General features: G+C 40.1%; 1 protein-coding gene across 19 annotated transcripts in view, besides 2 other annotated features; it reads left to right on the top strand.

The window, feature by feature from the left end:
- Nucleotides 1–1,023: 1,023 nt before the first annotated feature.
- The window catches only part of TBC1D19 (TBC1 domain family member 19), a 282,243-nt gene continuing 271,263 nt past the window's right edge, over nucleotides 1,024–12,003 (top strand). For 17 of the 19 annotated variants that reach the window (XR_007057937.1, XR_001741277.2, XR_007057936.1 and 14 more), the window contains exon 1: nucleotides 8,431–8,639. Coding sequence is in view for 10 of the 19 variants with exons in the window: in XM_047415903.1 (XP_047271859.1) it covers nucleotides 8,541–8,639 (99 nt within the window). In the remaining 9 variants the exon portion in view is untranslated. Of the gene's footprint in view, nucleotides 1,145–8,430; nucleotides 8,640–12,003 lie in introns of those variants that run through there. The other 2 variants (XM_047415904.1, XM_047415907.1) reach the window with 1 other exon arrangement.
- Nucleotides 3,454–3,748: a silencer, noted in NCBI's record as "tiled region #5841; K562 Repressive DNase matched - State 23:Low". NCBI's record gives its function as "represses a minimal TATA promoter and a strong SV40 promoter by Sharpr-MPRA in K562 cells {active_cell/tissue: K562}" and the evidence as "EXISTENCE:reporter gene assay evidence [ECO:0000049][PMID:27701403]".
- Nucleotides 8,659–8,748: an enhancer, noted in NCBI's record as "active region_21398". NCBI's record gives its function as "activates an Ori minimal core promoter by ATAC-STARR-seq in GM12878 lymphoblastoid cells {active_cell/tissue: GM12878}" and the evidence as "EXISTENCE:reporter gene assay evidence [ECO:0000049][PMID:35858748]".

Consider the following 12,003-nt stretch of genomic DNA (forward strand, 5'->3'; position numbering starts at 1 on the left):
CATTTGTGAGGCAAAAATTACTCTGATTTGTCCCAGAGAAGAAATGTGAACAAGTTGCATGCAAATCCCAGCTGTTATTCTGGACTTTATTGTGACTTTTGACAAGTTATCTACCTTTCAGGTGTTCATTATCTAGTCTGTTAAAATTAGAGAAAATAACCCCTACCTTGTGAGGTGTTACAAGGGTTAAATGAGATACATTAGTTTCTTTCTGTGGATCTGTGCAGGGAGCAGAAAAAAGAAAAATTAAGAAAAGAAAAGAAAAGACACAGTAACAAGTCACCCACACCAAGATAGTAGAAAATCACAGGACAAACTGTCAGAAAATTTGGCTTTGAACTTGGAACTCTGCCTCCATCTTGTTGTGTGACTCGAAGCAATTCTCTTAATTTTACCCTTGGAAAGAATACATTTCACTCTTGTCAAAAGGAGATGAAATTTTTGACTTCCCAAGTTTGTTCTAATTTTGATGGCTCTTGTTTCAGGAATATAAAAATAATTCTTAAAATTTATAAAAAATGTTACATCTTCACTCACCCTGAAAACCAAAAAATGTACTTTTTAAGCATCCACATTTCCTGTCCTCTTTCTTTATTTGTATTGTCAAGTGAAGTTGTTCCAGCGAATGAGTCAGTTGAGATGGAAACATTTATTTATCTGATGTAATGTGTCAGTGGTGCGCTTTCAAAGTGTTTCTAGTATGCTTTGACAGTAAGTAACGGCATTAAAAAATGCTCTGACAAAAATGCTAGTGATAAATCACAGCTGTCATTCCCCTTCTCCCCAGGGGCTGCAGTTTGATTTTGCCACCTTTCCTTTTCGTTAACAAAAGTGCTATTTGACATATATTTTATGTGTAGTTCCATGAACTAAACTTCATTTTGTTTGGGGAATCTGGAAAGAATCTCACACTTTGTTTGAGGCTCTACACAACAAATCACTGGATTGAAATTCCTGCGGGGGGGGCATTCTGGAAGGGACTTTGGACCCCGCTCAAGAAGTCAGTCCCCAAGAGTGGAGTCCAATTCAGCAGAGAATTCACGGACAGAAGAACAACACAGCAGGGCAGAGAGCCACAGAGCCACTAGCAGATGTCAGGGAGATGAAGAGAGGGGCCACAGTAAAATAAGACTCTGGGATGAAGGTATGACCAGGACAAGGGCCAGGTATGACCAGGTAAAGGGCTATGTCATGAACCTGTTGTATCTGTTGGGATGGTTAAAATTGTGTGTCAAATTGGCTAGGCTATGGCGCCCAGTTGTTTGGTCAAACAGTAATCTAGGTGTTGCTATAAAGGTATTTTTGTAGATGTGAAAAACATTTACAGTCAGTTGACTTCAAGTAAAACAACCCTCCATAATGTGGGTGGGACTCATCCAATCAGTTGAGGGCCTTAACAGCAAAAACTGAGGTTTTCTAGAGAAGAAGGAATTCTTCCTTAAAGCTGGAACATAGAAAATCTGCCTGAGTTTTCAGCCTGCTGGTCTGTCCTATGGATTTCAGATTCAAGACTGCAATATCAACTTTTTTTTAACTGAACATTCAGCTTGCTGCTCTGCTTTATAGACTTTGGACTTGCTAGCCTCCCCAGTCACATGAGCCAAATCCTTAAAATCTCTCTTCTCTCTCGTGTGTGTGTGTGTGTGTGCGTGTGTGTGTGTCTGTGTGTGTGTGTATTCTCCTATTTGTTGGACTCCTCTTGGGAACTTTGAGTGATACACCTCTCTTGTCATTTTTTGTTTCCAGTGCAAGGCTTGGAGGACTCTGCTGGTCTGGAAAGTCATGCTTAAAGTTGCAAGAACCCAGCCAAACAGTCCCCTCCTGGGGAAAATTGGAAATGGGTTTTCTTTTCTTCAACCAGCACATCTTCAGTACTTGTTACCTTCCAGGCAACATATTAGGTACTAGACAGGTTGGGTTCCCCCAGAAGCAGATGCTAAAATAAGAATTTGAGTACAAAGAGTCTAATAGGTAGAGGTAATTCTAGGAAACACTGGTAGGGGAGTGGGGAAGTGAGACAGGGAAGGGAAGGAAGACACAACAGGGCATGTTAACAAGAAGGGAATGGCTGTGGGCCACTGGATTCAGTGTCACTAGGACTTATGAGAGACTGCATGGGAGCCTACAGCTGTATGCCCGGAGTGTACTGAAAATCAAGGATAAAAATGGTGCATTCATTTTCTGGATGTCGCATTGTTAAAACCTTTTTATATTATAATAAACACATGCATATTTTGGAATACATACATAGTTTCATAAATTTTTTAGATAAAACAAGAGCATTCAAGGAAATTTTGAGCTAAGAACTATTGTCTTAGTGCAGTCTTTGTCTTTTTTCTTCTCTCTTCTCCTTTGTGTCAAACACTTAATTCAGTGTCCTGTTTAAAAGGATTCTCCTTGCTAAGACACCCACTTTGTTCCAGGGTCCATGGTCTTGCTCTGTCCACTACACGGAGTTTGTTTCAGGATTAAGTCTTGGTAACAGGCTTTTGGTCCCTGCCCTAGTCCCCTTTCTTGTGCACGGCATCTTACAGTGGGCCCGCCAGTTATGCAGTAGAGCTCCTTGCTGTGCCTGCACATTTGGCTCTGCTCCCAAATTACTGGGCCTCTGACATTTCCAGGCCTATAACTTGATCCTAATTCCCCATCTGTGTCCATATGGACAACTTGCTAACTTCCATAATGGATGGAGACAGGTCCAACTGCAATCTTCAATTTGATCTCAAGGACCAATATTGCAGCCGTCCTATTCTCATAACATATGCTTGTCTTGTAGATATTGCTAGGCCTTCAAGAGAACTGGAAGAACAAGAAAGATAAAAAAAGATGGTGAAAGGCATGTAAGTTTCCCAGGTGGCAATGGAGGAAAGCCCAAAATAAGAAAGAACCATGAAAAAGGAAACATTCTGGAGTAGAAATGTAAGAGAGAGAGAGAGAGAGAGAGCACGTGCAATTATGTATGTGTTAGGTGTAGTTTGGAGGAGGTGAGAAGAGAGTAGTGATCAGAGAATTGAGGAGAAAATAGGCCAAGTGAATCCTGCTCTACTGTTAGCTGAAACCTAGAGGAAGTGCCTAGAAAAACTAGAACATCATTTTTTATCAGTAAACCTCTTTTGCCCCAAGTTGTACAGATTGTATTAGAGAATAGACTATTTCTGATGTTCATTTCTTTTGTACAACTCAACAGAGGGAATAATCTCAAATTCCAGTAGAGTGGCTAACAGATATAGGGAGGCCTTAGTTGAAAGCAATTTATGAGCAAGCTGCTTTCTTCACAAGTCATCAATTTTTGTCTTTTTTACAATGACATTTGCAAATATTCTGCTCCTGTCATGTAATCTGCTACTCATAGGCCTCATTTTGCAATGGGTTAGCCTTATTTGTGTTTACCTTTCAAAATGTCACCACGATACTAAGCAAATGCCACCTAGATAAGTACTATAATTTAGATTCTCAGTCTAAACCACACACAACCAACTCTGTGTGAATGGTCAGTAATCTGGATATTGTCTAACTCTTAAGTAGTCTATTTGTGGCCCAAATATCATTCACAGGGGTTCATATCCCAGTACCACTCTCACATAGAAGTCATTTTGGACATCACGGCAGAAGAAACCATACATTCTTCTACTCCTTCATCTCTCTCCAAGAATTGAGGACGAAACACCAGATCATCTCTTGCCAGACTCTCTTGTAACTAGCGGTGATCATGTGACAAAGCTTCAGGCAGTAAGATTTATGGGGAAGTCTTCTTCGGAGCTTCTTGGAAAAATATTCTTTACTCAAACAGAAATGTATACATTGAGAACTTTTAAAATTTTTCTCCCTTCTTTCCTGCCTTTTTTTTTTTAAATTTTACTTTAAGTTCCGGGATACCTGTGCAGAATGTTCAGGTTTGTTGCATAGGTATACATGTGCCATTGTGGTTTGCTGCACCTATCAATCCATCATCTACGTTTTAAGCCCCGCATGCATTAGGTATTTGTCCTAATGCTCTCCCTCCCCTAACCCCCAACCCCCAACAGGCCCCAGTGTGTGTTGTTCCCCTAGCTGTGTCCATGTGTTCTCATTGTTCAACTCCCGCTTATGAGTAAGAACATACGGTGTTTGGTTTTCTGTTCCTGTGTTAGTTTGCTGAAAATGATGGCTTCCAACTTCATCTTCTTTCCTGCCTTTCAAGACAGCGGTAGGACAAGATATTTGGAATTGCAGCAGCCATCTCGAGACTGCGGCGATAAGCCAGGGAGGGAAAGTCAATACGCTAAGCATGGTAGAATGGAAAAGATGGAAAGAGCTTAGAAACTTGATGTTTCTGAGACACTGAACCAACCTTGGGACTCTCCTCCAGACTTGTTGGTAATAATAAAGATCTTATTATTTAAACCACAGTTAGGTTTTCTCCTGTAAGTTTTCCCTTTTGCATAGAGTCAACACGGTCCCTGAGATTACTCCTGGAGCCAGTAGCCCAGTCCTCCCCATTCACATAAATTGTCTGGGACCACAGGAATGAAAGACGGGAAAGTGGAGGAGGAGAGCATAGTCTGATACTCAGCCTGGATTCAGAAAAGAGGTATGACTGCCATTGTAATGAGAGGTGGCAATCAGAAGCAGAAGGGGCTTTTTTTTTCCCCCATAAAGGTCTTTGTGAACCTTGGGGTTTAAGCACCTTTGGTGCTTTTGTAGCACCCAGAAAAGCACCCTGGACAGTGGCTTGAGGGCATCAGACATCCCGAGGCAGGCAGAGTAGAAGACAATGAGCCAGTTTCTTTTTAAGCATACATGTATTACTTCCTGAGGACTCCTGGAATGTGAAGAGACTCTGAAGAGGGGCCTGGGGTCTTGTGCCAACAAATGGGGCTAACTATCCAGTGACAGGTAATTGACATCAATATGACCTCGTTTGTTCCCAAAGACAGTGAGGCCTGTGACATGTGTGATACACACAACACACATCATGATTTTTGTTTATTCTAAGTAAATTCCTGTCAACAAACAGTTGAATTTATTCTGCAGACATGGCATGTTAAAAGCAGTCTCTTTCTAAAACAACAGTGGAAAGTATTTTTCACTGCAGATGGTACAGTTTATACAAGCCACCCTCATGTGAATAAAGTAAAGATATGTTTCAGTGTACCCTTGAAGGGTGTTTCAATTTTGAGTTAGGCTGGCAGGTTGTTTTTAATGCGTTCCACAACCTTGCCATGTGATACCACTAGTCAGTGGTTTTCAAATGCATCCTCTGCCCCTCCCCAGTAAAATCTGACACAGCATTATATGAAGAATAGATCAAACCAAGCAGGTCTGAGAAAGGCAGGGTTGGGCCCAGAGCCCTATACATGTTGGCCCAGAAGTACCTCTGTCCTAAATTTCAGAGAATTTTGAGGAGATTTCCCTCTGCATCTGTTTTAATTTTGTCTCTCTTTGTATAGTTTTAACTATTCAGATAAAATTGCACCCCCTCTTGCTATTCATCTGTTAGTCACTCTGAAATGTCAGAAATAGAGGATTTTCCTGTTCTCTACCCACCTTGGGTACAGTAAGGATTTTCTTTTTTAAAAAATTTATTTACTATACTCTAAGTTCTGGGATACATGTGCAGAACGTGCAGGTTCGTTACATAGGTATACATGTACCATGGTGGTTTGCTGCACCCATCAACCTGTCATCTAGGTTTTAAGCCCCGCATGCATTAGGTATTTGTCCTAACGCTCTCCCTTCCCTTGCCCCCCATCCCCTAACAGGCCCTGGTGTGTGATGTTCCCCTCCCTGTGTCCATGTGTTCTCATGGCTCGACTCCCACTTATGAGTGAGAACATGGGGTGTTTGGTTTTCTGTTCCTGTGTTAGTTTGCTTAGAATGATGGTTTCCAGCTTCATGGCCTGCAAAGGCCATGAACTCATTCTTTTTTATGGCTGCGTAGTATTCCATGGTGTATATGTGCCACCAGATTTTCAAGGCCAAATTCCGCCTTGTGGGATGGAGATGGTAATCTGTACCTTCAGTTTCTTGTGAGACAATGACTTTACAGTAATAAAATTTCCAGACACACAGGTGGGAGACTGAAGTGGTCTATCTATCATTATAACTCTTTGTATAGCAGCCACATAATTCCTTTGGGACTGAAATTTCTTGAAAGAAAGGACCATTTCTTACTTATCTTTGTATTCCTTGCCATTTCTTGCCTAGAGCAGGTGTTCTGAAAAGTTTTGCTAAATCGAATTGGAAATAGAGAACAAAGACCATTCTGTAATTAAATTATACTCCGACACATCTGCTTCTATGTATGTAAAAAACAATTTAAAGATATTAGGATTAAGGGACTTTTTTTTTTTTTGCTTGGACATGCTTTCCGAATTAGAGCCAAACTTCGTAATTGTTGCTTTAAGCTTATAATTGTTCTCTTCTTTAACAAAATTATTTAAGTCTCCATCTGTGCAAGGAATAGTTCTGGGCACTTTCACATATGTTGCTATGTTTATTTAGTTACTTTCCATTCCCTTGTCAATAGTACTGGGCATTATTTTTATTTAATTATCACAGTTTCAATATTTAATTTATTAATATATATTAATAGTCTAATACTTGGTACATTTGTTCCTCATACTGTCTCCTTAGTTGGATATTTTACACTCTTGATACAGAGAAGAAAATGAAACTGATAGGGAAAGAGACTCATGCAATTCCCAGGGTACATACTAGGAAGGAAGCCAGAATGTTTTCTGACTCCAGGCACTATCTATGCCTTTTCTTCTGCTCTACAGCTTCATCCTTCCCTTCAACGCTCTACTAATCTTTTCAGCTGAAGCATCTTTATCTCTTTGGCAGCTAATCACTCCACTTCTTTCAATCTCAAAGGGACTGTTATGGTAGTGCTCTCTCTCCTCTCTCTGCCTCTTCTTTCTCTCTGTTCAAAGTGAGGTTTGTGGTGGGAATTCATGGATGGGTGGACAGTTGAGATGGAAGGACTATAAAGAGTTGACAATATCTACTTATCTGCAGCTTTGAGAAATTCTGAGTTGTGAGAGAATGTTTTGTAGAGAAACTGCACTTTAGAGAGTCTGTCATTAATTGCCTTTAAGTGCTTTGTTTCTTTCCTGGCTGCCTCTTTCTAAACTTGGTTTGATAAACCAACTTTACCAAATTATTTAGAATTTGTACTTATCATCCCAGTATTCTGGATGGTGGTGTTATAAATGTCAGAGTGCTGTGCATAGAGGCCCGGGTCCAGTCCCTTTGAATTCATATTATTTCCTGCTTTAGTCCTTTGCTATTCAGAATGTAGTCTTTGGACCATCGGCATCATAATTTCTTGGACTTGTCAGAAATGCGGTTTACCAGTTCTCACCAGAGTCCTATTGAATTAGAATCTACATTTGATTGAATGAGATCTCTTTGTTTCTAGTTAGTCTAGAGTAGCTTTTGCAGCAATCTTGGTTTGTTTTCTTAAAATCCTACTTCTGCTTTGCTTAAAATATGCATATACACATTTGAACTCAATTTTGATTATTTTTGTGAGGTTATTCTAATGTATTTTTCACTAGGCCTTTTTTGGGGGGGGAAGGGAGGTGCCGTTGGCCTTTGGGGATGTCATTCAATAATTTAAGTCAGTTACTTTTAGTTCTGCTAAAAATCTTTTGTGCATTTCCTTGAAGGCAAGAACCATATTTTATTAAACCTTTGTGCCCACACAGTTCCTTTTATGTAAATGTTCAATAAGTTGAAAGCTGAATGAATTATGAATAAATGCTTGAATGAATGAATATACGGAAGAGGATGAATCTAGACGGTAAATTCCTGGAAGACTTGGACAATGTCTTATTCATCCTTGAATTGCTAATGCTTTGCAGAAAACCTACAAATAATGCCTGTTGGTTAATTTGTAGTTGTTAGATGAGACGAGATTGTCTACTTATTCCTGGTATAAGACTCTAGAGAATAGAAACGAGAGAAAATGAAGTAAAATGGAGTGCTATGGTACAGTGCTAGGCACCTTCACGATTTTTACCTCAGCTAATCATCACAACATCCTGCAAACTGGGTGTTATTTTACAGAGGCGGAAACTGTAACACGTTTACGCAGGTAGTGTCAGAGCCTAACAATTCGTGGTTGTAATTCGCAGTATCATTGCGTGCCACAGTCCTGTTTCTGCAGAAATTGAGAGGTGGAAGAGAATGATCCTTTATATAGTAAAACGCACAATTCTCCGTGTCCCCCTTGTGCATCAGAGGCGCTGTGGCTCTGAAAGAATGAGCTTTCTTGCCTTTCAACCATAGACAAGGCAGGAACAACGGTGTGAAAAGCGTCCTCCCCGCCCCGGTCTTTTTCCGCCGGCGGAACGCAGATGCTGTGGCCTTCAGGCGCTGAGGGGACCAGAGAGGGACGGACACAAGGCTCGGCAGTTGCCTGGTAACGCCCGCTGGAGGAGTCCCAGTGTAATAAGGTCCCGGAGAAGTGTCACTGGCCCTGAGTGGGACCCGGTAGCCCGTTCGCTCCGCGCCGGCGGCCTGTCCCCGCGGCTTGGCGGGCTAGGGCAGGGGAAATGTTGCAGGAGGAGTCGGACCTCTCTCTCATTATTGCCCAGATAGTCCAAAAGCTCAAGGGCTCCAATTTGTACTCTCAGCTGGAACGGCAGGCCTGGGTAAGTGAGGCCGAGTGGGAAGGGATGCAGACGGGCGGGGCCGCGGCGATGTCTCTTCTTCACCCTCCTCACCCAAGCCAGAGCTCGCCTCTGACCTCTCCAGCTCCGCTCTGGTGCTCAAAAAACAAACAGACAAAAACAAAAACAAAAACAAAAACAAAAACAAAACAAAACAAAAAAACCCCACCTCCCTGTCCGGTGCAAGCTGTGCTGCCTCAGCCCCAGGCGTGGTTAATAGATTTTTAAAGAAGGGTGGGGCGCATCACACCTTTTTTTCAGACCAGAGAAACGCTTACTCATTTATCTATTCCTGTAGTCATTTACAGGGTCTAATTTTTTAAGCTGCTGGACTCACTGAAGGTAGCTTGGACCATGCCTTCCCTCACTTTTTCCGTCCTGTGGGTGGACTTGGGCCCCCAAGTACCTTTCTGCTTTCTCGTCAATGTATCACTTTCTTGCAGTTTACCCTCCCTGCAATTATTCCTCGTCTATCCGTCCACCACCTAGCATTTATTGGATATTTTATAACATGCTAGGCACTGAGGATGCACAGATTGATTGAGATCCTTGCCTTTTTGTGACTCATATAAATGAAATCATACAGTTTGTACATTTTGTGCCTGCTTTCTGGCATTAACACAGTGCTTTTGAGATTCATCCATTTTGTTGATATTTCAGTAGTTCTGTTCCTTTTTATTGCTGAGTAATATTTCAGTGTTTGAATGTACAATGGCTTGTTTATTCATCATTGTGTGAAGGGCATTGGGTTGCTTTCTGGTTTTAGAGATTATAAGTAAAGCTGATATATACATTCTAGTATACGATTTTGCTTGGATATTTGTTTCTTTTTTTCTTGGATAAATACCTAGGATTGGAATTGCTGACTTGTATGGTAAGTGTAATGTTTCATTCTATGAGAAACTGTCACACTTTTCCAAAGTGGCTGTATCATTTTCCATTCCCACAAGCAATTCTGAGAGTTCCAATTGTTTTGCGTCCTTGATAGCGCTTGATGCTGCCAGTCTTTTATTTATTTTTATTAATTAATTATACTTCTCTAGTAGAAGTGTAATAGTATCTTATTGTAGCTTTTATTGCATTTCCCTAATGACTAATGATATTAAGCATTTTCTTATGTGCTTATATCTTTTTTGGTGAGGTAGTCTTCAAATCTTCTGCCCATTAAAAAAAAAATAGTGTTGTCTTCTTATTGTTGAGTTGTAAGGATTCTTTCTATATGATGTAAGTCTTTATCAGATGTGCGTCTTGCAAATATTTTCTCCCAGTCTGTGGATTATCTTTTTTTTTTGAGACGGAGTCTTCCTCTGTCACCCTGGCTGGAGTGCAGTGGTGTGATCTCGGCTCACTACAACCTCTGCCTCCCAGGTTCAAGTGATCCTCCCGCCTTCGCCTCCTGAATAGCTGGGATTACAGGCATCCACCACCATGCCCAGCTAATTTTTTATGTTTCCAGTAGAGATGGGGTTTCACCATGTTGGCCAGGCTGGTCTTGAACTCCTGATCTCAAGTGATCTGCCTGCCTCAGGCTCCCAAAGTGCTGGGATTACAGACGTGAGCCACCACACCCTGCCCAGTCTGTGGATTATCTTTTCATTTTCTCAACTGGGTCTTTGAAAGAGAAAAATGCTTAATTTTGGTGACATAAATTTTTATCAATTGTTTTATGATTTGTGCTTTTTGTTCCCTACCTAAAAGTGTTTGCCTAACTCAAGGTCTTAAAAAAGTTTCTACTATGTTTGTTTGTTCTAGAAGTTTTATAGTTTTAGCTTCTACATTTAGGTCTGTGATCCTAAATGTAGAAGTGTGATCCATTTTGTGATCCATTTGAGTTAATTATTGTATATGGTGCAAGGTAAGCTTTTTTTTTTTTTTTTTTGCATATGGATATCCAGTATTTCCATTACTGATTTGCTGAAAAACCTATCCTTTCTCTGCTAATTTCCTTGGCACCTTTGTCGAAAATCAATTACACACACACACACAAAATTTCTGGCTCTCTATTTTGTTCCATTGATCTATTTGTTCATCATACAATACCACACTGTCTTGCTTTTTGTAACTTTATAGTAAGCCTTGAGATCAAAGTCCTCCAAATTTGTTCCTTTTTTTCCCAAAATTATTTTGGCTATTCTAGGTCCTTTGCTTTGCTATATAAATTTTAGAATCCTCTTATAAATTACTACAAAAATTGTTGAAAATTGGATTGGGATTATGTTGAATCTGTAGATCAATTTGGGGAGAATCGAGATTTTTAGCAATATTAAATTTTCTGGCCCATGGACACAGTTTATCTTTTCATTTATTTATGTTGTTTTTATTTTCTCTTGTCAGTGTTTTGTAGTTTCAGCACACAAATATTGCATACTCTTTGTTGAGATTTTCCCCTTAAGTATTTTGTGGTTTTTGACGCTATTATAAATGGTGACTTAAGTTTTAATTTTTTATTTTTAACATACAGAAATGCAATTGATATTAATCTATTTACCATGTATTCTGAGAACTTGCTAAACTTATATATTGGTTATAGTACCTTTTCTGTAGATTACTTAAGATTTTCCAGGTACATGTATCATAATGAACTAAAGACAGTTTTACTTCTTCCTTTCCAATCCGTGTGCCTTTTATTTCTTTTTCTTGACTTACTGTACTGGATAATGCCTCCAGTGCAATGTTTTGCAGATGCTTTTTTGCAGGTTGAGGAAGCTCTATTCTATCCCTAGTTTTCTGAGAGTTTTATCATGAATGGATGTTGAACTTTGTTAAGTACTTTTTTATATCTGTAGATATGTTCATATTATTTTTCCTGCTCATGTTGATATGATGAATAATACTGATTGGCTTTGAATGTTGCACCAATTTTGTATTCCTGAGATAAATTCCACTTGGTTATGATGCATTATTCTTTTTATATATTTCTTGACTCAATTTGCTAACATTTTGCTGAAGATTTTGTAACTGTATTTATGAAAGATACTGGTTTGTGGCCAGGCGCGATGGCTCATGCCTGTAATCCTAGCACTTTGGGAGGCCAAGGTGGGCAGATCGCTTGAGCTCACGAGTTTGAGACCAGCCTGGGCAACATGGCAAAACCCTATCTCCACAAAAAATACAAAAATTAGCCAGTGTGGCAGTGCGCACCTGTAGTCCCAGCTACTTGAGAGGTTGAGGTGGGAGGATGGCTTGAACCTGGGTAGCAGAGGTTGCAGTGAGCAGAGATCGCACCACTGCACTTCAGCCTGGGTGATAGAGCCAGACCTTGTCTCAAAAAAAAAAAAAAAAAGATATTTCTTTGTAGTTTTTTTTTTTCTTGTAACACTTTGTCTGCTTTCGATACCAGTTAATG

The sequence above is a fragment of the Homo sapiens genome, chromosome 4, assembly GCF_000001405.40.
Source record: "Homo sapiens chromosome 4, GRCh38.p14 Primary Assembly".
NCBI lineage: Eukaryota > Metazoa > Chordata > Mammalia > Primates > Hominidae > Homo > Homo sapiens.